A 27,778-nucleotide genomic window follows, 5' to 3' on the forward strand; every position below is an offset into this window, starting at 1 on the left:
AGCTCACTGTCACATCTTTCATTTATGAAATCTCTGTAAGAATCCAGGATCCAAGTCATTTGTTTTAGAAATTCATTAATTGGCCTTTCAGAGCCAAGACAACAAGTATGGCCAAAGAATCATTTCTGATGAGATCAGTAATAGCAAATCTGAAGCAATCTCATTTTAGAAAATATCTAAATGGGTCTCACTCATCAATGTGTTTCAGATTCTTTCACGGCTTCAAATATAATGGACAGAGCTGGGTTTCTTTGAGATAGCATTTCAGTGAAACACTTTTTAATTCATTTTACACAGCTCTTATTAGATTTGTAAGAGGATACACACTGAATAAGCACTCCATGGTCACTTGAGAGGAGAGTAGTTACGTGACTCATTTAACAGGCAATTACCTGTTTAAAAAGAGACAAATATCCTGTGTCTGACAGAGGCTATGACTGCATGACATGAACCAAATGTTTGAGACTATTGAAAAATCCTACAATGAAGGGGATTCTGGGCTCCTATACAGAATTCACTGACCTTCAACTAGTAAAAAATAGATGCTTGATGGAACTGTTACGAATCTCGCCATCTTAATCATGGTAATGGTTACACAGAGCTACACGTGTGATAAAAACGCATAAAAATACACACACACATACGAGAATGCACATAAAACTAGTAAAATCTGAATAAGGTTGGTGAATTGTGTCAATGTCAGTGTTCTGGTTGTGATATTATACTGCAATGTTAAAAGAGTTTACCATTAGGGGAAAGTGGGTGAGGAGTATACAGTCTCTCTATATATTATATCTTACACTGCATGTGAATCTACAATTATCTCAAGATAAAAATTCACAAAACCTAGCAGTTTTTGACTGCATCTATTGATGCGGTATCACCCACTCTACCAGATGGCTTACTGTCATCATCCCACTTATATGTACTGTGAGATAAGGGTGTGGCTCTTACTTCTGGGCAGGTGGGCTTCACATGGAAGAGCAGCTTCTAAAAGACTCGTGTGTTTCAGAATAGTATTGCTGATGCTGGAATTTAGGTTAAGATGTAATTCTTTTTTCTCCCTATTCTCATGCATGCTTTGGAATTTGACATCAAGAGAGTTGGCATGGCACCCTGCCTTTGTTTCCTATACTATATATGCTGATGGTTTTGTTTAGCTCTGGATCAGTTTGATAGAGATATTAGAGATGGTCACCTGACAGACAGGTTATTGGATTCTTCTGAGAGTATATTTGTGAATTGCATTAATGGTTTCTTTCTGTGCCCTTTGCCATGTAACTTTGTAGACATCCATCTACAAATAGGGCTTTGTTTCTACCCCTTGACTCTGGGCTTGGCCTCGTGCTTGTTTGGGGTAATGTTAGCAGACATGAGCAAGCAGAGACTTGAAAATCATTTGTGCGGTTGAGCTTTCCCTTTTGGACTTAGAACATCGCCAGGACAAGAATGTGCCTGGAGTAGCCTATCCTTTAGCAGGAGGACGATGAAAGAAAGGTGGAGCAGAGCTGCCCAATTAAACTGCACCAGCAAAAGTTCAGCCTGAAGCAGAGTCCCTGGTTGACCCACAGACTTATAATAAGCCCAGTCCAAAGTAGCTGCCCCACGGACACATGAATTCTAATTGTTGATTGTTGTTTGAAACCATAGGGTTTTGAGGTGATTTTATATGCAGGAGTAGTTGGTAATCATTATAATTGTGAAGGATGGCCTTTTGGATTTCAGATAGGCGACGGGGATCTGAAAGATCGAAATAGAAGGGCAGTGTGTGTGGTGGGGGACATCTGTTAATTCTCCACACTTGTAGGAACTAGAATACCAAACGGCAACCGAGTTACAGAAAATGGACAGCTACCCATTATTACAGTGTAGGAGATAAGGTCTCCTTAGGTCATGAAGTTAAACTGATGCTCAGATACCTGAGCTTTTTAATTAAGTTCATTTGAACAAAGACCAAGTGGGGTTGAACCAGCAACAACGAATTAAGTGGCCTAAACTATTAGGTCTATGGAGAAAGAAATCAAGCAGTATGTTGAGGTTAGATCTAGATCAGGAGGTAGAATTTTTTTTGTGAAGGTCCAGATAGCAAATATTTTACACTTTGTGGGCTCTACACTCTCTATCACAACTTTTCAACATTCAACATTGCTAACATGCAAATAAATGTGATTGACTACATTCAATAAAATTTTATTTACAAAAACATAGAGTGTCTGGAATTGGCCCACAGGTTATAGTTTGCTCACTTCTCATCTAGATTCTTGTAATAATATTGTATTATTGAATAAAACATTTAAAACTAAATATTTGTGAGAAATTTAAGGTAAAAATGGTAAATATGTGGCATGTATACTCAAAGTTCTCCCTTTGAGCCAACAATAGACATCACAGTCTTTCCTGGAATTATTTCTCCCAGATTGGAAATGTCCTCTGAATTCTTCATGTCTCAGCAATCCAGACAGTCTTTACCAATTTGTCATAGCTTGTAAGCTACATAAAGGAAAATAATAATAACCACAACTCAAAGGCTTCTCTTTTATCAGCCATAGAAAAATGTTACAACTTTACAAAGTGACTGTGAATTTAAGTTAAACCCTCTGACAACAAATTGGAGGTAAGTGTAATAGAATAATAATAAAAACATTGAAATTATAAGAATTTCTTAATGTTATTTTATGTCAAAGCATTTGCTTTTGATGTATACATATTTGCTTTTGATATATACATATTTGCTTTTGAAGCTGTGAAACTTGGATTGAAGATACAGTAGGGAACATGAAGACCCATACTAGGGATCATCTGGTTAAGGTGGAGAGTAGAGTTGTAAAAAAGTAGGGACATTGGAGGTGGAGTGAGGAAAGAGTTGTTTGTAAAATTAGATAGGTTCCTTGGTGTGATGCTCCATGAATGTAGCTACACCATGTGTCTGTGGACAGTGAGATATGATGATGAGACAGATTGGATAAGAATTTTGGTAACTAATTCCCTAAACTCAGTGGAGGTGAATGTAGTCTTTGCCACAGAGCTGTGATGGCTGCAGATGGAAGAAGGTTTGAAGAAAAACAGTGAACACTGCAAGCTATTTTGAGGAAATCTGTCAAAATTGAAAAGTATTTTCTCCTCAGTGGTCCAACATAAGTCCAATATGGATTATTGATCATGGTTTTGGTAATTTCACTTGAACTGAGCCTAAATAATCAGGCACGTGCTGTGCTGAGTACTGCCAAGGTTGTTTAATTGCAAAATCAATTCCAAGGCACTGTACCTCCTAGCCAAAGCCTCTTTGCTAATCAGGCCTGAATGCATTGGATGGGGGTAGCCAATAAGATGCAACACTGGCCTTCTGTTATAACAATGGGATTTCCTTTTTACAGTTCTTTATGGGGCCCTCATCCCTTGGTAATGGCTTGTGAACAGTTTGAACTCCTCAGGCAATTCTTGAATAATCTTTTCCCCCACACAGCCATAAAGAAGGCCAGCCTGGAAACTTGTATCACATGATTTGATCAGTCTGCTGAGAGGGCTGGAGAGTTCTCTTGATATGACACTTGTGAAGTGGTAATAAAGCTGGGTCGGATCCACAGTGGCAGGTGGCTCAGGCATCAGCAATGCAGTCATTTAATGAGATAAACTTGAAAACACCAAGCAAAAGTTTGGAGGACTGAATGTTTAGTGAGAGAGTTCAATGAGTAGAGTTATTCTTTGGAGAGGGTCCCCCCAAAGCCTTGGAAGAAGTAAAAATTGTAGGGCTATGACTTTGGAGTGAGCCCATAAAACTTTCTAATTCTTGCCAAAACAGAAAGGATTTTAAAATGTCAAGTTGGATGTGATTCCTCTTGAAGCAGGACTTACAGTTGCCCTGGAGTCACAGGGGGTTGGGCTGAGGACAACTTTGACTTAATTTGCATTTTCCCAGCCTTAGTCCGTTTTCACACTGCTGTAAAGATACCACCTGAGATTGGGTAATTTACAAAAACAGAAGACATTTAATTTACTCACAGTTCTGCATGGCTAGAGAGGCCTCAGGAAACCTACAATCATGGCAGAAGGTGAAGGGGAAGAAAGGCATGTCTTACCTGGTGGCACAAGAGAGAGAGATGTGGGCAAAACTGCCATTTTTAAACCATCAGATCTCATGAGAACTCCCTCAGTATCACGAGAACAGCATGGTGGAAACCACCCTAATCGCCTCTCTCCCACCAGGTTCCTCCCTCGACACATGGGGATTACAATTTGAGATGAGACTTGAGTGGGAACACAGACTCAAACCATGTCACCAACCTATGCCCTACTGAAAGACGGGTATTCTGAGATCAAGTGACACTAATCATCCTGAGCTGAGATTTCCCAGTATTCCTCTCTACCTCCACTCTTCCTTTGACACCTCTCTGACCACTCCTCAACCGCCAACCCCCATGCACATCTTCGATCATGAGAAAAAAAAAGAAGACGGGACCTCTCCTCTTTATCTTGTTTTTGTGTTCCAGACTCAGAGTCTCTTGTCCAAAATGGTTGGTCAGACAACTTATGAGTGAAGCTGAATCTAACAGTGTCAAGTGTCTATAAATTGTTACGCTCTCAGCAGATCACAAGGTCAAGAGATCGAGACCAACCTCACCAACATGGTGAAACTCTGTCTCTACTAAAAATACAAAAATTAGCTGAGCATGTTGATGTGTACCTGTAGTCCCAGCTACTCAGGAGGCTGAAGCAGGAGAATCTCTTGAACCCAGGAGGCAGATGTTGCAGTGAGCTGAGATCACACCACTGTGCTCCAGCCTGGGCGACAGAGTGAGACTCCGTCTCAAAAAAAAAAAATTGTTACGCTCTCTTGTCCACTAAATCTCAGGTAGAAAATATCTGTCAAAAGTATAGATACCCTCAGTATGTCAAAACATGAAGTTTCTAGACACAAACTCCATTGACCCAATTCCTAAAATTCTTCCAAAATTCTTCTCTTCACTCTGAATCCCCTGAGGGGGATAAAGATGAGAGGGGTGTTCAAGACTATGGGGCCAAGAGGTAGGGAAGGGATAAAAAATGTTGTAAGACCTTGAATGTGTGAGGCTTCTGAAGGAGTCTTTGCAAGACAAGAGTTGGTTTTTATTTGCCATAAAGGATTTCAGTAATGCTGCTCCTCATGTGACTCATGCACTTGTAGACTGGCCAGCTAACAACACATTTGTTTACAGAAAAGTGATGAAATATGGAAAGTATCACTGCTAATTGTATTTCTATTGTACCCCTTTCATTTTCTTTCCGGACTAGAAGCTCTGGAGCTTTCTTCATTCTTTTATTAAGAACAAAATGACCAGCAGGAGAACAATGTGAAATTCACTGAGACCTGAATGAAATGCAAGAAAATATTATTATGAAATGGTCTACCTAATTAATAATGTTGGTAAATTGAACTTCAGTGTCTGGTTGACAGCTGACTTAATATAACCTAAATAGGAAGACAATAAAACTCATCTAGGGAAACTCATTTTAAAGTTTATTAATGTTGTTTTCCTCAGTCTGTACGCCTGCTGGCAAATCATTTTATTTTCAGTGATAGAGTCCTGCAGAACCCCATTATAGGCTGTATGACCTACATTATGGTCCTTCTGTGTTAGAGTGGGAGTGACAGACAGTCCATCCCCATCTGGAAATATCATTTAATGCATGCTATGACTGATTAGATGGAACAACCTCTTTCTACATAATGAAGTTTACTACAGAGAAATTTACAGGAAAAATATTCAGTAAACACTAAAATACCAAATATTTGCATCTCTATCAATGATCATCTGGTCTCTCTCCCTAAAATCCTATAACTGTACATTTTAACATAGCTGTAAACACAGTGTGTGCACGCGGTTTTGTGTTTTTACTTTCTTCACCTAACATATCGCATGCATATTTCCATAATGGAATACACAATACAGTTTTAAAGCCCACAGACGGTTTAACATATTGATGTATTTAGTGAATATTTTAATACCACTTTTCTGTGCTGAAGCTAATATCCTAACATCTGCCAATTGGAAGTAATTTTTAACTGAATTAAACATGTATGTACTTGTTTCCCAGGACACACAAGCCTAAAAGATGAACGATACGGTGTTTATACTTCTCCCTAGGAAGAGCCATAGGCCTTGGGCCCCATCAAGGTAATTCTGGACCCTAGCCCCAGGTCCCTTTCTTGTGATGATAGAATTCTTTTGAGGCTTTGCATATGTTCTTGGAGAGCCATTATCATTTTCCTCTTTGCCCCCATATGGCTCTCCAGCTGCTACATATTGAGCATGCTTAGTGTCTTTCTATCACCCCTTGACTGCCTTTCTGAATGTTGGTATTTCCTTTCTTGGTGTGGTTCTAGTTGCATAACCCTCAGGAAGTTGCTGTCCTGATTTGGGGAAGGAATCTCTTTCCATCATGGATAAAATCATGCTATTGCTTCTCAGCTTTTATCCATGCACTCATTCATTCATCAGATAGCAATGAGCACTTTCTAAGGCTTTGGTCCAATGCATGACACTGGGGATATAGTGGTAGACATGCAGATACAGTCTCTCCCTATGAAGATTACAGTCTTGCAGTTGTCTTCCATGACTCCACGTTAGTGTTGTTGTTATTTTTACTTACTTTTTAAATGTAGTATTACCTCACTACCACCAACCTCCATGAACATAGTGAATTTAGACTATACTGTCACCACTGATATCCAATCAATATCCCCAGGGCATTATAATATATTGTCTCCCCTAAGGAGCAAAATTTTTCCTCCTCTAACTTATTCATTGAAAGGTTAAGTTTGTCCCCTGAACTTCCTCTCAGCCTCATTTTTATAAGTATGAATGCATCTCATCCATCTGTTGCTTCACTCCCAGACTCTAACAATGAGTGCCTTTGGAGATACACAGAATAAGACCATTTGGAACTTCATTACATATATATGTGTGTGTATATATATATATATATATATATATTTTTTTTTTTTTTTTTTTTTTTTTTTTGAGACAGAGTCTCGCTTTGTTGCCCAGGCTGGAGTGCAGTGGCGTCATCTCGGCTCACTGCAACCTCTGCCTCCCAGGTTCAAGTGATTCTCCTGCCTCAGCCTCCCTAGTAGCTGGGGCTACAGGTGCACGCCACCACGCCCAGCTAATTTTTTGTATTTTTAGTAGAGATGGGCTTTCACCATGTTAGCCAGGATGGTCTCGATCTCCTGACCTTGTGATCCACCTGCCTCAGCCTCCCAAAGTGCTGGGATTACAATCGTGAGTCACTGTGCCCGGCCACCTATATATAACCTATATATAAATTTTTATACCTAACAATGTATGTAAGGTGCCTCACTTTGAATTAAGTAATGTAGACTCATGTGTTTCATATATTGATATAACACAACATGCTAAAATGGCTAAAAATGAGAGCTATAGAAATAAATTTGCTGTTCATATTCAGGATTTCTGAGGCTGGTGACAGTATCCTAGCAACCACTACCTGTTACTTGAAGCCACCTAAGTTAAAAGTTGATTGCAGAATGAGGAGATGAAGGGGGTTAGAAAGGAAGGTGAAATGGAAAATCAACCATTGAAAACCCCCAGGGATGAAAGCCTTCTATTTTATTATCTTAAAATGTCTGAAGTGTAATATGGGAGAGGACTTGGTGAAGTTCCTTCAACATTTTATATAATATCCTGGGGGTAAAGAGGAAAGCTTGACTTCCTCCTTTCCTTCAAAGAGCTCTTAATTCCCTTGTGTTTTTACTTACTGTCCCCAGTGTGCTAGCTACTGCAGGGACACGAAGACAAATAGGACATCTGGGATGAGCCAGATGGAGCTTAATTTAGGCTTTGACATGGGCAGATGACCTTTCTTAATTTTAGATTCTTCAAGTCACAAGAGATAAAATTATGACCTTTCAGATTGTTGAGAACATATTTAAAAGTCTCCTGCACCTTGTATTGGCATATGGTTAACCAGTCGCTTCCTTCCTTCCTGTTTCTTTTCTTCATTTTCCCTATTTCCTCCCTTCTTTCCCTACAAGCCTTTATTTCTCCCTTTCAATATTAAAAAGATGATAAGCTCCTTTCTAAGGTCAAACTAATTTTAATGATAAACATTTATATCTCAACATCAAATTTTATATATATATATATATATATATATATATACACACACACATATAAATGTATACTTGTTAGATTAGAATAGGAATGCCACAGAACTTCATAAAGGGTTATAAAAAATACATGTACTAAAATATGTAACAACATGTAACCGTAACAAAAGACATAAAGGCTCTGATATGGTTTGGCTGTGTCCCCACCCAAATCTCATCTTGAATTGTAGTTCCCATAATTCCCACATGTTGTGGAAGGGACCTGGTGGGAGATAAATGGAATCATGGGGGCAGTTTCCCTCATACTGTTCTCATGGTAGTGAATAAGTCTCACAAGATCTGATGGTTTTATAAGGGGTTTCCCCTTTCACTTGGCTCTCACACTCTCTTGCCTGATGCCATATAAGACATGCCTTTTGCCTTCCACCATTATTGTGAGGCAGCCCCAGCCACGTGGAACTGTGAGTTCCTGAAACCTCTTTTTTCTTTATAAATTACCCAGTCTTGGGTTTATCAGCAGCATGAAAATGGACTAATACATGCTCCATTTGGCTACAGTTGTTATGCAAATATATGTGCATCTCATGTCAGATGTGATGTCAGTAAGGGAAGGTGGTGAGAAAAAGTATACATGTATTTTGGAGGGGACACATTGAAACCACAGCAGAAGACATGGAGGTAGAGTTGGGGAGTGGGTTGGTATGATTTGGCTGTGTCCCCACCCAAAATATCATCTTGAATTATAATCCCCACTTGTCAAGGGTGGAACCAGGTGGAGGTAATTGGCTCATGGGGGCGGTTCCCCTATGCTGTTCTGGTGATAGTGCATGAGTCTCACGAGAGCTGATGGTTTTATAAGCATCTGGCATTTCCCCTGCATGTACTCACTCTGTCCTGCCGCCCTTGAAGAAGGTGCCTGCTTCTCCTTTGCCTTCCGCCATGATTGTACTTTTCCTAAGGCCTCCCCAGCAACGCGGAACTGTGAGTTAATTAAACCTCTTCCCTGTATAAATTACCCAGTCTTGGGCAGTTCTTCATAGAAAGATGTATTCATAATTTCATAAAACATTACAACCCATCAGAATCTGATTGAGAAAATCAAAGTGATATTCATGATAAAAACAACCAATATTTATGATAGTAACAATAAAAGCACAAGAACATTTATTAGGGATTTATGCATAGATCATCTCTTCTGATCCTTACTATAATCCTGTGACACAGTTTTTATTGTCACTTTCAAAAAGACTAAAGTTTAAGGTATGAGATCCCTATGAAATGGTAGAGGTAGGTAGAATTTGAAACCAACTCTTATGATTCTAAATCCTATGTTCTTTCTCCTATAGTATGCTGTTCATATTTTCAAATAATTATATATATAAGAAGCCCTCCCTTATAGAAGTATAGAAGTTTATATCAAAGATTAGGGGAGAAAACTGTAGTTTTTCTCACCACCTTCCCTTACCCATATCACATCTGACACAGAGACACACACACATTTGCATACACAGTTGTAACCAAATGGAGCCTTCATGTCTTTTGCTAGATACATGTTGTTACATATTTTAGTACATTTTTAAATAACACTTTATGAAGCTCTGTGACATTCCCGTTCTAGTCTAGCAGGTTTTTCTCAAATAATGACTTCTTAAAGAATAGATTTTTAAATGAATTTAATCTTTCATTTTGAACAAATGATTTGATCTTGAACAATATTTATTTAGACCTTATTGAATAGATATGCTTGGAATTTTATGTCATTAGCCAATATACATTAATCCCTTTGGCTCTTATTTCACAAACCTTTAAGAATGGCACCAATTCTTTTGTTGCATCTCAACTTGCCTTCTATCAGCAAGGAACTCTGCTACTGACTGTGGTAACATATCCATACTTGAGTGTGCGATGAGTGTTGTGATAATGGCAGAGAGAAAGGAAATGCATTTCCCAAAGCAAACGGGCAAGAGAAAAAAGAATTTTTGTGGCCATTGGAAATTTAAATTAAATAGTTTGAATTCTGGCTCAAGAGTTTTGTGCTCTTTTGACTCATTCCCCATCTCTACCACCATACCTTCTGCTATGGTTTGAATATGTCCCTTCCAAAATACATGTGTTAAAACTTAGTGGTCAGTATAATGGTATTAAGAAGTGGGACCTTTAAGAGGTGATTAGGTCATGAGGGCTCCTCCTCTTATTAATGGAATTAAGGCCTTTATGAAAGAGGCTTTGGACAGAACTGGGCTGGCTTACCCTTCTGCCTTTCACTTTGTGAGGACACAGCATTCCTCCCCTCTGAAGGATGCAAGAACAAGGTGCCATCTTGAAAGCAGAGAGCAGTTCTCACCAGATAACCTACTAGTACCTTGATCTTGAACTTCCCAGTCTCTACAACTGTGAGAAAATAGATTTCTGTTCTTCCTAAATCACCCAGTCTTAGATATTTTGTTATAGCAGCACAAACGGACTAAAACATCTGCCTCTGCATGTTCGATAGGTTTGAACAAGCAGCGGGAATTAAAAATGGCAAAATAATAGGACCTCAGCTATTGGCAGATGCATAAGTGACCATGGTACTAGTTGGAGGAGAGAGATGACCCTGTGAAAGAATGAGCAATACTCAGTTCAACAGGAAATTCAGCCAAGTCATGAGCAAGAGATGGGCTGCTGCAATCTTGTGGGAACCCCTGTATCAGCAGCTTTAGAAATACCTCTTCTTGGCTAGAACTCGGCTATGGATTGAAATAGATCTCAGAGTAGATCCAGGGTTCTAGAGATTATAGCACAGCCGTCTTCAAGGACAAGACTGACGTCATTCTTAGCCACACATATCACATTACTGAAAAGATTAAACCTTAATTAGTTAGATTGTAGTGAATAAAACTTACTCAAATTGTGTATCCCTCCAGCTACCCAATCACCTACAAACACACAGTGATAATAAGAATGAACACAAGGCTGTATTTTAGACTTACTCTGTAGGTCCAAAGGCATCTCTTTTGAACTGTGATACAAGTAAAAGTATAACACACACATTAAAAGAATATTCTTCAGAGATGGTGAAAATGAGTTCAATTTGTATGAAATGATAGAAAATGAAACCATCCAAATATCAGTACTCTCATTCTTCTCTGAGGCACAAAATGCCACAGCTTAATAGGAAAGTTACAAATTAGCTACAAGGGAGAAAAAATCTTCAGACATACAGAGAGCCTTTTCTTTATTGTTGCCTTGATAAAACTATAGTCTTTCAAGAAAAATTACCATCTTCACAAACTCTGATCATTCATATTACAACCAGTGATGAGAAAGTAATGGTTAAGGACAAAGTTAAAAGATTTGCCTCAAATTATTACCATCACCACTGCATTTTGATATACAAATATGAAATAACAATTACTTGGCAATCATTTATAAATTCTAAATTATACCAAATAGTACATGTTCTTAGATACAATGAAGAAACATGAAGGAATCCTATTAGCTAATAAGTGCCTCTATCCATATGCCAGCCTAAATCTCTGCTTGCCCATTATGTTGTAATGAATTCAGAAAATCTCCATGGTAACTTCTAGACACATATCTATCCAAATAACTGAGTATTTTCCATTTGTCTCACATATTTTACTTTACACATGGACTTGCCTTGTCACCTGACTGCATTTATGTGAAAATTATATACACACATACAAACACATGTGTATATACATATACCCACCCAAATTTCTAAAAATAATTTCAAACAACTCAGGAAAAACTGATACAGTTAGCACAGAGCAGTTAGAGACATTCTATTGAGGTTGTTAGAAGGAGAAAGATAGTGGTACTAGGAAAATGAGATAAGATAATTTAAATGTTCTGCTAGTCCAGTAGTCTGGGTAGAAAGAAAAATGTATTTCTTCCTTATATAGTTGTCATTTGACAAAAAAGAAGTAGAAGACAAACTCATCTTCATCCTTAATTGAAATAGGAATTAATTGAGTTGTAGCTTACATAAAAGACATTCATATTGTGATTAAAAAAACACTCCTACCAAACTGAGGAAACATCTAAACACAAGCTGTATAGAAACACATGTCAATTTCATTTACAGTTGACAAAGCCCAAGGGACAGAGTTGACACTATACAAGTCTTGAATACCTTTATGGAGGTAACATGCCTGAATATGCTCTGAGAGGTCAACCAAAGGTTACCTAGGTACATAGTGAACTAGGTGAGGTTGTTCTGCTTCCATACTCTTTCATCTAATTTTCCCCCGCTGCCATCCAGTCACATTCTGCTCACTCCTACATATTGAAGCCTATTCCTAGGGAGGATCTGATGGTTCCTTAATTAAGTCTTTTTATTTTAGGACTCTTCAGTGTTTGAATTTTAAGATTTGCCTCCAGTATGAAACGAGAGGACTTTGCCTTCACTACTCAGCTTGAAGAAAGAGGAAGAGATTTATTTGGGGTGGAGAATGTGAAGCCATCCCAGTGACTGCCTCTTCCACAAATTGTCTTTCTGTTCCAAGGCAATGACCTCAGTGTTGTCAACTAGGAGGCACCTGAGCTAGTAAGGAGAAGCCAAGCAAGAGAGAGATTTGCCTCATCCCCACTGGTTAAATAGTTTGCTCATAAAAAATTTCGGAAATATATTTATTAAGGATAACTATGTGCAACAGTTTCTAAAATGTCATTTGGGATGTTGCATGAGTGATCAATGTTAGGGTGGCATGAAAATCCTGAACTGTAGCTAGCAGGCTTTAGCAGCTGAAGGCATTTTGTTTAATACTGTAAATACAGTACCAGAGTTTAACTGCATTGACGATTATTTTACTGCTGACCCATGGACCACAGAGTGGTTAAAAGCAAGGGCATTTGAGGCAGGTGGCCTGAGGGTTCATGTCCCTGCTGCATCATTTACAATCTCCATGACCATGGGCAAGTTACTTAACTTCTGTAAGCCTTAGTTTTCTCCCCATAAGTTAAAATAAAGCTGTACCTTCCTTATGAGTTTGGTAAGACAAATACCTTAGACAGTGCATATAAAGTAATTAACACCATGCCTTGAATGCAGTAGTTGCTCCAAAAATATTAATTATTGCCACTACCATTCTACTATCATTACAATTGTTATTTTTTCATATATTTGCTCAAAAATACAGTGGAAATGTAAGCATGTAAACGTTATTGTGTTCAGTATAATATACAAACATTAGCATAAGTATTTCCTTTCTCATGAGCTTTTGCAGAGATCACCTGCTAATGAATGTGGAAAAATAGAAATAAATTTAGAACATTTCTGTAGAATCAAAGTTATTTTCAGGTTCTCTAACACTTGAAAACAATAAAAGCATTAAAAAAATTTTATCGCAGAGAACTCCCTTAAATCAAATGCTTTGAAATATTTTAAAGAAATGCTAATTTGGAGATCTTAAAAAAGAATGAGATCTAAAAGATATCAGATGGCAGACCAAAAGAAAACTGGGCATAATTTTCCAAAAAAAATATTTTATACTCTGTCCTTCATTTTCATTTATTTTGGGGTAAGTTTCCATGGAGTTCTATCTTTGTGGAGTAATTGAACTAGGCTGATGTCTAAAAAGCAAGAAAATATTCTAGAAAATTAAGCCTGAAAGCTAACATAACTTTCCCTCTTGAAGCATTTAAGAAGATGGGATTTCTCAAACCGGTAATCAAAGATTACCTGGATCAGAGTCACCTGGGGGCATTTGTTAACAAGGCCGATTCCTAAACCCCAGAGGCCACACTAAATCAGAGTGTTGTCCCAGTAATACACATCTTAAAAAGAGTCTCTTTACATTGTTTGTCATTTTGATAAATGCTGGGTGAATAAATACCTTCTTTGGATATTTTAAAGGAAAGCACTTCTTTTGCTAGTATTTATTTTAAGTGAAAGATCATCATGGCCAGGTTTTTTAAATTATTGTTATTCATTTTTGGCTTTACAAGGCTGGCGAATATGCTTCTCATTTCTGGCTACAGCCAAGCATTAGAAATGGGTCATCACAGCGTTAATGAAGGAGTGCACTGAAATAAAGGTGTGAGGTAGGGGCATTTCCTATGCAGTGCCTGTGCGGTTGCTTGCCTGTTCAATCATGTGTTCATTTATACCTCCAAGACATTTCTTAATTGAATCAGGTCTATTTAACCCAGTCCATATAATACCTAAAAGCAGCCTTATATACATATATATGGGATCTCAGATAACAGGCAGAACGTGAGGGAGAACATTAGCTGTCTCTATGCAAAAATTTTTAAATGGATTATTAATGAAACATTAAAACCAGTCTTCAAAGGACAGCATTTTTTTACATGATCCCCATAGGCTGTATCTTTTTTGCAATAAATCTATTTGTGTAAATTGGGAGCCATAGTCTGTCAGATCTGTGAGTAGCATTTCCACATACAGTGTTAGAAGAATCATTGAAAGAAAGATGCTAGATTTGAGAAAGATGAAAGAAAAAAACATTAAAATGGCCTAATAAAATTTCAATTTGCAAAATATGATTTTATACATTTTCATCTGGGCATAAATTTAATAGATCACCACCTAGATATATTTGGGGTCTCTGCCAAATCTCTTTAATTTCTTTGCAACGGAAATTATAAAAGCAGAGAAGGGTGTGTGTGTGTGTGTGTGTGTGTGTGTGTGTGTGTGAAACAGTCAAATGCTATAAATTGTCTTTTACTGTAACTTAAGTCTCCTTGAAATTCTCTTTTTTTTTCTTTTTGAGATGGAGTCTCACTCTTTCACCCAGGCTGGAGTGCAGTGGCACAATCTCGGCTCAGTGCAACCTCCGCCTCCCAGGTTCAACTGTTTCTCCTGTCTCAGCCTCCCAAGTAGCTGGGACTACATGCGTGTGCCACCACACCCGGCTAATTTTTGTATTTTTAGTAGAGACGGGTTTCACCATGTTGGCCAGGCTGGTCTTGAGGTCCTGACCTCAGGTGATCCACTCACCTAGGGCTCCCAAAGTGCTGGGATTACAGGCGTGAGCCACTGCGCCCGGCCTGCTTGAAATTCTTTAGTATGATTTTAAAAACATGAAAGAAGGCTTGAACACTAAAAGATTTCCTAGAAAATGAGGTAAGTTTGTGCCTGCCAGTATTTTTGAGTCCTACCATTAAAAAAGTACTCAGAATTCTCTGAGTAATGTTTTAAATATCTATAGCACAGTAAAATAAAACTAACCAAAAACCCTACACACACACACACACACACACACACACACACACACACACTCCTTACTACTAAGGAATATCTATCTTCAGAAAAAAAAAAAATGAATTTCAGGAGATTGGAGACAGCTTATTCACATTTCTTGTTCCTCTAAATGCTAAAAGTTTCTTTGCCTAATATTCCTTTATTTTTCTCATCCCTAATATTGCTTTCTGGTATGGACAGGCATTTGGGTGGCAGCCAATCAGCAAGTTATCAATTGGGGGAGTTTGAAAATTACTGGAAACCACAAAGTTGCTCCTCGTTGCTGCATGGTGAAAATGCTTATATTATGCGTGCAATGGCATTCATCGTCCATCCCACCCTTGATTCTTGAGGAATTTGTTTTCTAGGCCCCAGAACTGGATTTATGGTTTTCTTAATGAATCCAAAGCCATGTGACCAACATGGTGATTATTAAGATCTTTATTTCCAGCAACTTAGAAATTCGTGGCCAGTGATGACCATTTTCTGATTTCCATCCCCAACCTTTTGGCATGTTAGATTGATGTCTATTTTGGATTGGGTTCATTTGTGAAACCTGTGAGAATTAACTTCTTTCTTAATCCATCATGGCTTTCTGGTAACTCCCGTAAAGTTTCTGAGATGGGGCCTTTCCTCCATCCAGTACATCCCCTAATTTTATGCCAGGATGCGTTCTGAGCTTTCTGATCCTTTCTAAGTCCCTCCTTTCTTAGAGAATCCCATCTTTAGGTCAATACTGGCTTTCCTTTCTAGATTTTACTACTTCTGGCAATCAGTCCTAAGATCTTTTCCATCATCTTGGAGATAAGATGGTCTGGTTGATGTTTCATCCTCAGTGTTTGAAAGAAGATCTCCATTTCTCCTGGGCTCTGCCCTTGGCTGATTTCTACACAACCCTATTCATGTTGCTAATGCCCCAAACAACCCCCAGACTTGGAATCAATAAACCAACCCATTTATCTATTGCTGCCTGTGTTGAAGGGGCAGCATGTCTGAGTTCCTTCTTTGTACATCTCCAGGATCTTCAGGTTATCTTCCAGCACAACAGCAAAGTTTTTGGAAGTTCATGCGCACATCCAACCTCTTCCTACCTTCCCTCAGTATCACCTTTAAATTACTGAACTGATTGTAGGCAGGCGAGACTCTACCTCAAGGATTCTCTAGGAGTTCATGGATTTATGAAGAGAATGTGAGAGAATCCATGGGGGGAATCACTTTAAGGAAAACCAAACATAATGGTTTTTAGGTGGTGTATTAGGCTGTTCTTGCATTGCTATAAAGAAATACCTGAAACTAGGTAATTTGTAGAGAAAAGAGGTTTAATTGGCTCACAGTTCTGCAGGCTATATAGGAAGCATAATGGCATCTGCTTCTGGGGAGACCTCAAGGGGTATAAAATAATGGCAGAAGGTGAAGTGGGAACAGGCATATCATGAGCAAGAGTGAGTGAGCCAGGTACCACACACTTTTTTTTTTTTTTGAGACAGAGTCTCACTCTGTCACCCAGGCTGGAGTGCAGTGGCGTGATCTCAGCTCACTGCAGCCTTGGCCTCCAGGGTTCAAGTGATTTGACTGCCTCAGCCTCCCGAGTAGCTGGGACTACAGGCGCATGACACCACGCCCGGCTAATTTTTTGTATTTTTTAGTAGAGACAGGGTTTCACCGTGTTAGCCAGGATGGTCTCGATCTCCTGACCTTGTGATCCCCCGACCTGGGCCTCCCAAAGTGTTGGGATTACAGGCGTGAGCCACCGTGCCTGGCCGGTGCCACACACTTTTAAACAGCCAGATCTAGTGAGAACTCACTATCGTGAAGAGAGCACCATGTGGATAGTGAAATTTACTTATGAGATATCCACCACCATGATCCAGTCACCTCCCACCAGGCCCCACCTCCAATATTAGGGATTACAATTCAATATGAGATTTGAGTGGGACAAATATCCAAACTATATAAGCTGGTGACCACAGATGATAATGTCTCATTAGCAAAATGTTAATGTTCTCTTGACACTCAGGGTGCCCAGGGTGTCTTTCTTATTATCACCACCTCCATCATCACACTATCGCCATATATTTGGGTAGCACTTTTTTTTTTAACTTTCAAAAGTGCTATCACCCCTCTTGTTCACTTAACCTCACAGCCACTCATTAGCTCTGACATTTACTAGAGTGCATTCATTACTTAAATGAGATTAAATCTAAAATCAGCACATCAGGCAAAAATTGTGTAGAATTAAAATTGCCCTTCAAAAATCTCTTTAAAAGCTCATAAAATGTAGCACAAATGATTTTGTGTTTATTTTGTCTTCCTTATGAGGGCAATGTAACCAGTTTTCCTACTGCATTGAAAAAGATTACTTTTTTTTTTTTTGGTTGCGTACCAGAAGATGTAGTTTATATGCATTTGGGGCTTTGTGGTAGGAAAACTATCAGTGCTGCTGTTATTTGCTGAATATGTATAGTTGAATTTGCAAAGTCAAATGCTCATATGACATAATGCTACTGAAGTCTCTCCAGGTAAAGATCAGGAGGGATACAGGCAAAGGGAAGTTAAGTAATTTGCCTAAAGTCACAGCTAGCTACTGAAAGAAATGAGTTTGATATCCCAGTCCTAATTTAGGGTTTCCTCCTATTAGATGGAAATTGGCTAATTACATCTACCTTTGGGAACTGATTGATTGCTAATGTTTGCCTGGTTTCCTGAATTGATTAGGGTTCTGAAGCCGAGTCTAGGCTCAGCAAAGAAGAGCACAAAAGTCATCAGCCTGGCCAGGTGTGGTGGCTCACGTCTGTAATCCCAGCACTTTGGGAGGCCCAGGCGGGCGGATCACTCGAGGTTCAGGAGTTCTAGACCAGACTGGCCAATATGGCGAAACCTCGTCTTTACTAAAAATACAAAAAAACTAGCTGGGCATGGTGGTGCACCCCTGTTATCCTAGCTACTAGGAAGGCTGAGACAGGCGAACTGCTTGAACCCAGCAGGTGAAGGTTACAGTGAGTGGAGATCCTGTCCCACTGCCTTCAGACTGGGTGACAGAGTGAGACTCCATCTCAAAAAAAAAAAAAAAAAAAAAAAAAATCATCAGCTTGCCATGGGGCAGAGGTGAACTGCTCATCTCAAATTTGCAATTTCCCCACTAGACCACACTACCCAAGAATTTGAAATGGGAATATGGAGCAAAAACAGGGGAAAAATCAGAAATACTTTTTTCCTTTCTCAACCTATCTGTACAAGCACATGAAAATCTTAAATTCAAGAATTAATCAAATATTTCCAGTATGGTTTCATTAAATGAGAAGGTATAAGAAACGGGAGAAAACATTAAGAAAAGAGATAATTGATTAACTTTTAAGTGTATCTTTATGATGGACAAGTTCTCAGAGTATTCATTAACTAATGGAATTATGGCAGTGTGTGATTGCTGTCTCTACAGAATAGGAGGTTAAAAAGTGCAAGGGCGTAATAGCCCCTCATCTCTCAAAGAGCTGGGAAATGGCCCCAGCACACTCACCTATGCTGAGAAGGATCAAGGATCTTATTGATATTCATGGTTATATTCGTCTAAGCCTCAGTAGATGCTTCCACTTACGGACAGTCCTAGAGGATTAGGGGAAAAGAGAAAAGAAAAACCTGACATTACATGCGGGAAACAGCCATTTAGAGATGGTGTGTCATCGCGTTCATGATTCCAGGGGGATTCATCTTGACAAAACATTTTACCCAATCTCCCTCAAGGCTGCTGGAAACCAATCCCTGTTAGTTGTCCAAGCATGTATGGTGCCTGCCCCTAGTAGTGGTCCCTGGTTAGGCATGAGGACAAGACAGCATGGGAACAATTGTATAGACCTGCCCCCTAGAAGTCTCCTTTCACAGAACCAGCAGGGTTGGGTTTATTTTACTCTGACATAAAGGGTCACCTTCTAGTTCGATGGGAAAGGAAGGCTCATCTGTGTCTACTGCAGAATGGCCAAGAGAGCAGCCTGCTTCCTGCTGTTACTGGACATTGTTTGTCTTCAGTACCTTTAACTGCATGGGTGGGCCACCCATCCTCCTTCAGCCTTTAGGAAAAACTCTAGCTGCCCAGGGTCTTTGTAGGTGGCAAATTTTTACTCAAAATTTGAGTGTTCATAATGATGTCAGGGTACAGTGAGGAGACATTCTGATACTTCAGAATTGGAGACAACTTAGTCTTGAATAATAGACATTAGCTCTTCTAATGTGTTCTTTGGTTATTCTGGTTATCTGGATTATCTCTCTGCCCATTTCCCCTCTTGGTGGTCACTGCCTCCCTCACGGCCTCTTCCTGCCCTCTCCTTCCTTGCCTTGGACGTGTCTAGCATAGCTCTTCTGGGCTACTCTGGAGGAGCCCTCACCCCTAGACTTCTTGGTTGTCATCTGGAGCTCCTAAATTCCTAAAGTCCATTATTTTACTATGCCTTTGAGTTTCACATATCCCTCTAATTTGGAACTGTGGCAAGTTTTTGTTTGTTTTGTTAGTTGTTTCAAAGAGAGAAAGAGAGAACTAAAATGTACTGAGTCTCTATTAAATGCTAGGTATGATACTGGGAACATTTAAATGATTTTATCATTTAAGAAATAAACTACCTCTATTTCTCACAGTGTTTTGGCACCTGAGTGCTGAATTCAGGTAAGACCAGGTTCTCATCCCAGCCCCAACACTCTCATAAGCTCTTAGGCAAGGTTATTTAGGTTATTTAACATTTCAATTTGTTCATCTGTAAAGCAGGCATAACAACCCCTGAAACATGGACTTCATGTGAAAATTAAGACACCGTGAAAGAAATGCACATGGAACCTCGATTAACCACATACTGCTGCTACAATTACTAGTAATATTATTATGAAATTATTAACTGTTTCTGAACAGTTCAGTTGGAGAGACAAAATACATGCTTACTTCCATTTCTATGACATGATCACTCCCTGGGAGATCAAAGCCAAAGTGGTCCAAAGATAATTCCTGCCAAAGCACCCTCATAGTGTCAGAGGCATTTGAACCAGAGCAACTCCATCTTGAACAGATGCTGGGTAAAATAAGGCTGAGACCTACTGGGCTGCAGTCCCAGATAGTTAGGCATTCTAAGTCATAGGATGAGATAGGAGGTCGGTACAAGATACAGGTCATGAAGACCTTGCTGATAAAACAGATTGGAGTAAAGAAACCAGCTAAAACCCATCAAAACCAAAATGGTGATGGGAGTGACCTCTGGTCATCCTCACTGGTACACTCCCATCAGCGCCAGGACAGTTTACAAATGTCATGGCAACGTCCAGAGATTACCCCATGTGGTCTAAAAAGTGGAGGAACCCTCAGCTCTGGAATTACCCGTGTTTTTTCCAGGAAATTCATGGAAAATCCACCCACCCCTTGTTTAGCATATAATCAAGAAATAATCATAAAAAGGGGCAATCAGAGGCCCATGCTTCTGCTCTGCCTATGAATTATTTCTTTACTTTCTTAATAAACTTGCTTTCACTTTATTCTCTGGATTAGCCTCAAATTCTTTCTTGCACAAGATCCACGAACGCTCTTTTGGGGTCTGGATTGGGACACCTTTCCTGTAAAAATAGCATACTGTGTCTGCAGGGTGTTGGATTTACTGAGGACCCATCAAGAAGGGGATCACTCCCATCATCACAGGTCTCAAGGGTCATACACCAGCCTATCCATGCTTGTTTTCAGAGACTGATAGTCATAGAAAATCCATTTCCATTCCTGAAAGCTTCAGATACACTTATATATTAGTGTTTTCTCATTACTAATAGAGTATAAGAAAAGAATGGTGAACGTTAAGAAAACAAACAAAAAAGCAATGTGAACCTCTTACCTTGTGCCCTGAATGCTCCTTGACTGCTGCTTTCTCCCTGTCCAGCCGCTGTTGCACCCTGGCCCTGCTTGTTTTTCTCCCGCTAGGCTCTTACAGCAATAGAACAGAATGCCATTTTACAAAAAACATAGAAACCAAGAGCTTTCCTCCCCAACTTAACTCTTTCTGTGCCAGCCATACTCAGAGCAATAGAGCAGAACACTGATTCATGTGAAACACACAAAAAATGAGAGCTTTCCTAAAGACTTGTAATAACTACTTATCATTTTATAATGGATACGAAGATTTCATTTATCATCTCAATAGAAACTATTACCATATGTAGGAGTAAAATTAATCCTGAAAAATATGCGAGATCTATATGAAGGATAAACAAGAAATTTTGGTGAAAGTCTTAAACAGCCGGGATATGAGAATAGATATTCATGGAACATGGGGAGCTTTTGATTTATCTTTATTATAAGTTAATGCCTCATCTCGCTATGTGGCTAGATACAAACTTAAGCTGGCAAAGACTGTCAAAAACTCACCATTGGTGCTCCTATTCACTAACACCCCTCCTCCTAATTTCTTCATATTAATGATCCCAACATTCCCCATACCATTAAATCTTAACCTCATCTTTAATGCCCCCTTCTTCATACAACTAATCTGTTTCCATGTCTTACTGAACCCATACACTATACCAGGAGCTGCTTGATAAAAACTTACAAAGCTGACATTTCCTAACACTGAGATACTCTTCCCTAGTATATCACAATATACTCCTAAGTCTCCCTGCTTCCCCTCCCTGTGGTCACTAACCTGGTCCAGGTGGAACAATGGCAATCCTCTTCTCGCTGATCTTGTTATACACCCTCGGTATTCATCCTTATCTTATACAGTCATTGCAGTCATCTCCCAATGCAGCTCTGAACTTGTTACTTCCTCGATTACAAAGTCTCAATTGCTTTCCATTTTATACCCTCAAAAGTCCCAAATTTAGAATTGTCATGAAAGCCCTCCACAATGAACGTACTTCTTACAGTCTTAGGGCCTTCTCTTGATTATTTCGAATTTTAATTTTATTGTGAAATATGTACAACCTTCAAAAAGTATAAGAGTCTCATGCACTGCTAAGCCTAAACAAAATTAAACAATACAATTGTTAAAAGGAATAGTTCTTCCCTATATCTTTTATTTCTTTTCATGCAAGGGGCACCCAGTTGGCATAACGCACTAATGTATCTTGAGAGGTGGAGTAATTAGCAGATTGGAAAACCTTGGAATGTGGAGCTCAGTTTCTCCTGCCTTTCTCTGGGGAATGAATCTGACTGCAGAAAGCTCAAGTTTGTATCTGCAACTTCTTGCTGGGATTACCTGTGGCAAGGTGGTTGAATTTGCCTAAACCTAAAATCCATTTAGCAGATCTGAGCTACATTTTTGAGTTTTGTCTTTTTTGTTAACAAACAGGTATTTTGCTGTATAAATGGAGTCATGACTAGATAACATTTGAGGATGGCTTTTTTTCATTCAGCCTAATTGCTTTGATCTATGGTAGACAGCATAATGCTTCCCCACCTCAAAAGATGTCCACGTTTTTATTCTCTGAAACTATGAATATAGAAAATACAGCAAAAGAGATATCATTGCTGTGATTAAGGACTTTGAGATGAGAAGAGCATCCTGGGCTCTCCAGGTGGACTTAAAATAATCCCAACGGCCCTTTTAAGAGGGAGATAGGCCCAGCGCAGTGGCTTCCGCCTGTAATCCCAGCACTTTGGGAGGCCGAGGTGGGCAGATCACGAGGTCAGGAGATCAAGGCCATCCTGACCAACATGGTGAAACCCCGTCTCTACTAAAATATAAATAATTAGCTGAGTGTGATGGCGAGTGCCTGTACTCCCAGCTAGTAGGGAGGCTGAGGCAGGGGAATCGCTTGAACCTGGAAGGCAGAGGTTGCAGTGAGCCGAGATTATGCCACTGCACTCCAGCCTGGTACAGAGCACGACTCTGTCTCAAAAAAAAAAAAAAAAAAAGGTTAAAGAAAAGTAGGAGATGTGACAATGGAAGCAAGAAATTAGAGTGATATAAGGAAAGGGTCATGAGCCAATGATTGCAGGCAGCTTCTAGAAGCTGAAAAGGGGGAAGGAAACAGCTTCTTCCCTGAAGCCTCTGGAAGGGAGTTAGCCTAGCTAAAATGTTGATTTTATAATTTCAACCTCCAGAACTGTCAGAGAAGAAATTTGTGCTGTTTTAAGCCACTGTATTTGTGGTCATTACAGAAGCAATAGGAAGCTAATACAAAATCAATCTATTCTGTGCACGTGTCCCTAGTTTTTCTATTTTGATTGCTGAGTAGTATTCCATGGTGTGGAGGTACCACAGAGTTTAATTATTCTTCTGTTGAAGGATATTTGGGTCATTTCTAGTTTTGGGCTGTTACAAATAAACCCACTACGTACATTTTCCTTCAGGTTTTTGAATGAACATATATTTTCACTTCCCTGGCATTAGTGCTGTAGAGTATAATGGCTAAGTCATATGGTAAACACATGTTCAAATTTGTAAGGGACTGCCATATTTTCCCCCTGCTATTTTTTTGAGATAACTAAATTGAAAGATATTGCAAGACTGGCATAAAAAATATCTCTGACCATTTGAGCTCTAATACAATTCTTGAGTCCCCAAAGTTATATAAGCAGGAAGCAAGATCCAGTTTCTATATAGCCCCCAAGGATTATACACTTCCTAACCCATTTCAGACATTTTAGAAAGAATGATGGGCAAAAGGAATCTCTAGGGGTGCTGAGGACAAGATAATTCCTCCCAAAGAGCAGAATTGAGATATAACCAAAAAATGATTCCAATGTCAGGCAGAGGGAACTCATAATACCCACCCAACAGAATTAGATGGCTTTCTTCCTGGTATGTGCTCCCATTGTCACTTTTGTGAATGGATATGTTTTTTGGAGTTATACTATCCATGATGATAGTGGAGGTGGGGACGGGAGGGAGTATATGATTTTCCTTTTGATTCATAAATCACTGGATGACAAAAAGCCCCATTCAGACCTAATGCAGAGGAATGCATGTCACCTGGAACGCTGACTTTGAACTGAATTTCCCACAAGATAGGACTTTGGATGTTTCTCTGAGCAAGAGTGGATATGCTTTATGCATGATGTTTTAATGAACAATTTAATTTAAGAGTTTAATTTAATTTAATATGTTTTAATGAAATAGGTATTTGGTAACTACAAAATAAAGACTCAATCAGTAACTGCTAGGTGAATAGCCAACTCATTTTCTCTTCTTTCTGGTCCAAATTTCAGTCTACATTTTCAAATAGTCTAAATTTCTCAACCTCTTTTAGTTAGGCGTGGCAGTGTTACCTGTTGACCAGAAACAACTTTGCTGGTTGCATTAAAATTCTGATAATGTGAGATTTATCTGCTAACAGCAAGCATTGCCCCTAGCTAATACACTGTCTTATTCCATAAATAATTCTATTATTTTACAAAAAGTATGTTTTCTAAAGTTTGTATAGCTATTGTTCTTTAGGTTAAAGAAGTTTCTTTCTGTTCCTGATTTTCTAAGAATTCTTAATATAAATGCATGTTGAACTTTTCCAAAAGGTTTTTCTTTCTGTAGCAGCTAATGTAATTGCATATACAGATTTTCCATGGTTAAACTACCCCAATATTTCTCAAATAAACCCTATTTGTTTTACCTATAATGCTGAATTTGGTTTTTGTGATTTTTGTATCTATATTCATAATTAATACTGTCCTATACTATAATTTTACTTTCTTTTACTATTCCTCTCTGATGTTTGTGTAAATGCCATATTATAAAATGAGTTATCTTTCAATGGAGTTAGTCTGCCAAATATATCAAGTCACATGTAGATTTAGAGAGAAACTCATCCATAAGATTTGCATTCTGAATAGATGCCATTTCTGAGTTCCTTGCTCCCTTTTTCTCGGGCTGCCCCATGGACCCTTCTTAAGGAGTCCAAATAGATCTCTTAAAAGAGTGGCATACAAGGCTTGCTTATTTCTTGGATAAGAGAGATAGAAGGCGATCTATTTGGACTCTTTCTCTGACTTACTGAGCTTACTTTGCTAAATTTTAGGCTCAGCTTTATGTGTTTATCTCTTTTTTGGCTTCAAACAAGAGATCGTCCTACATCTAGCCTCAGCACCACAAAAGTGACAACCTTGGAGCAAATGAGAGGGACTAATGTTGCAATCAAACAAGATTATTTGATGTTTGCCTAATCCCTGGCAAATCGTCACCTCTGTAGCTTTGCACACATTGTTCCATCTACCTGGAATGGGCTTCTTTCTCATCCCTGCATTTCTAAATCCTGTTATTTTTCAAGGCTTCACTCAAATGCTATGTCTTCCATGAAACCTTTCCTCATAACCCCTATATCACTTTGGATTTTTCTTAGTGCATTTTTTTCTTTACTATTTAATTAATTATTGCTGCAAAACATTACTCCAAACCTTACTAGTTTAAATGACAAAAACATTTATCATCTCACAGTTTCTATCAGTCAGGAACTCAGGAGTGGTTTTGTCCTTCTGTTTCAGGGTCTCTCCTGGAGTTTCAGTCAAGAAGTCAGCTTGACTGGCTCTGGAATATTGGCTTCCACACTGGCTCCTTGCATGGCTGGCAGGCTGATGCTGGCTACTGATGGCAGGCCTCAGTTTCTCTCTACACAACCCATGGCTGCTTGGATGTCTTCCCATGCAACTGGCTTCCTCCAGAGCAGGTGATTCAAGAAAGAGCAAGGCAGAACCTAGAATATTTTTTATGACTAAATCTCAGAAGTCACTCCCTGTCATTTTGTTGGTATTTTATTGGTAACACAGGCAGCCACAATTCAGCACAGGAGGGGACTACACAAAGGGGTAAAAACCAGGGGGCAATCGTTGAGGGTCATCTTGAAAGCTGAGTACTGCACTTACTCTTTTGCATTGTGATTAGTTTTGTTTAATGTCATACCATCCTGAGAGGGAAAATTCATTCTGGGGTTCTCTTTTTCATCTTTTTATCTTCTACATAATCAGCATGTGGTAAATATATGATGCATGTTTCATGAGAGAACAAATAAACAACGATAAGAAATTCAGGTGGCATCATAGAGACTATTAGTCCTTTCATTTAATGATACCATCCAGACAGACAAATGTTAGTCATAGTTTTTGGAACAGGAACAGAAGTGGCTGTCTGGAAACTACTGTAACTGCAAAAAAAAAAAAAAAAAAAAAAAGTGACCTATGTTTGCCATTTGCTTTTGCCTTAATATATTTTATATACATCATTCAAAAATATGTGTATTTAGGAGAAGGGGCTCAGTCTTTAATATACGGCACACTTAGAAATGTTTCAATCATATGGTGGTATCTGCCATCACAGAACAAAATACTTTATGGAAAAGATTGATGTTACTTTAGTTTAAGGTGTCACACTTTTATTGTGCACTCATTTTAGGCCATTTTATGTTTGGTAAAAAATGGGACAAAACAAAAAAACAAAACTAACTCTAAAACATTAAGTCATTCTTCTTGCTGTAAAGAAATTCACAATACATGCCAGCACTTATAAAATGAAAATGATGCAGAATTTATAGAGTTAAGTTACAGAAGGAAGGCACTGAGATTTTCATACATTCAATTATCTAGAAAAGCAAATCAATTTTGTTTTTGTTAATAGCAATGAAATATGCATGCCACTCTTTTAATTAAAGCCGTTGAGAACACATGTGTTCATTTTATGCCTATAGATTTCCTCTGGGAACAGGTCAAGCTCTATGATAAAGCATAGTGAAAATAATTTATATGTAAAACAATAAACTCAATTCACTAACCTAGAATGTTTCAAATGAGGTGTTTTCAGATCACCCATCTCAGGATCTCTCTGGGAAAGGGTGGTATTAGCTAAATTGTTGATGACTAGGATTCACCTGAAATCTACAAATAAATTGCCCTAGGGGGAGGCCAGGAAATGTTTAATAAATGACTCAGGTAATTTGTGTACACACTAATTTTGGAAACCAGTTATCTAACAGCAAAAGTCAGTGTACAATAAATGGTAAAGGACAAACTTCAGAAATGCAATCCTGAACCCAAAAGAAAGAAAAAAGGCAGCTCTCTGCACCTCTCTCTGTGACCTGCCAAGTGTCTGGAGATTGTGAACAACTTCCAATACACTTTCTGTTAGACAATGATATCACAATTCATATCAGAATTCTTTCTAAGTCTAGCAGTCCTGACCTGAGACGAGAATAATAATGCATATAACCACAAAATGAGTCAGTACATTTCTGCTTAGCCTGGGACAAAAAAAAAGAAAAAAGAAGAGGAGTTTTCCTGAGTTTTTTTTTTTTTTTTTTTTTTTTTTTTTTTTTTTTTTGAGACAGAGTCTCACTCTGTCACCAGGCTGGAGTGCAGTGGCACAGTCTCAGCTCACTGCAACCTTCACCTTCCGGGTTCAAGCGATTCTCCTGCCTCAGCCTTCCGAGTAGCTGAGACTATAGGCTTGTGCCACCATGCCCAGCTAATTTTTGTATTTTTAGTAGAGATGGGATTTTACCATGTTGGCCAGGATGGTCTTGATCTC

At 38.8% G+C, this 27,778-nt stretch overlaps 1 long non-coding RNA gene across 5 annotated transcripts in view; it reads left to right on the plus strand.

Moving 5' to 3' along the window:
• LOC105373896 (uncharacterized) overlaps nucleotides 1-27,778 on the plus strand; it is an 86,007-nt gene that overhangs the window by 44,720 nt on the left and 13,509 nt on the right. Inside the window, exons 5-7 of one of the 5 annotated variants that reach the window (XR_001739890.2) lie at nucleotides 2,544-2,614; nucleotides 6,073-6,152; nucleotides 25,747-25,830. The exons of 2 other annotated variants lie outside the window; for them this stretch is intronic. This is a non-coding gene — a long non-coding RNA (uncharacterized LOC105373896). 2 more of the 5 variants (XR_001739892.1, XR_001739894.1) reach the window with 2 other exon arrangements.

The sequence above is a fragment of the Homo sapiens genome, chromosome 2 (genome assembly GCF_000001405.40).
Source record: "Homo sapiens chromosome 2, GRCh38.p14 Primary Assembly".
Classification (NCBI taxonomy): domain Eukaryota; kingdom Metazoa; phylum Chordata; class Mammalia; order Primates; family Hominidae; genus Homo; species Homo sapiens.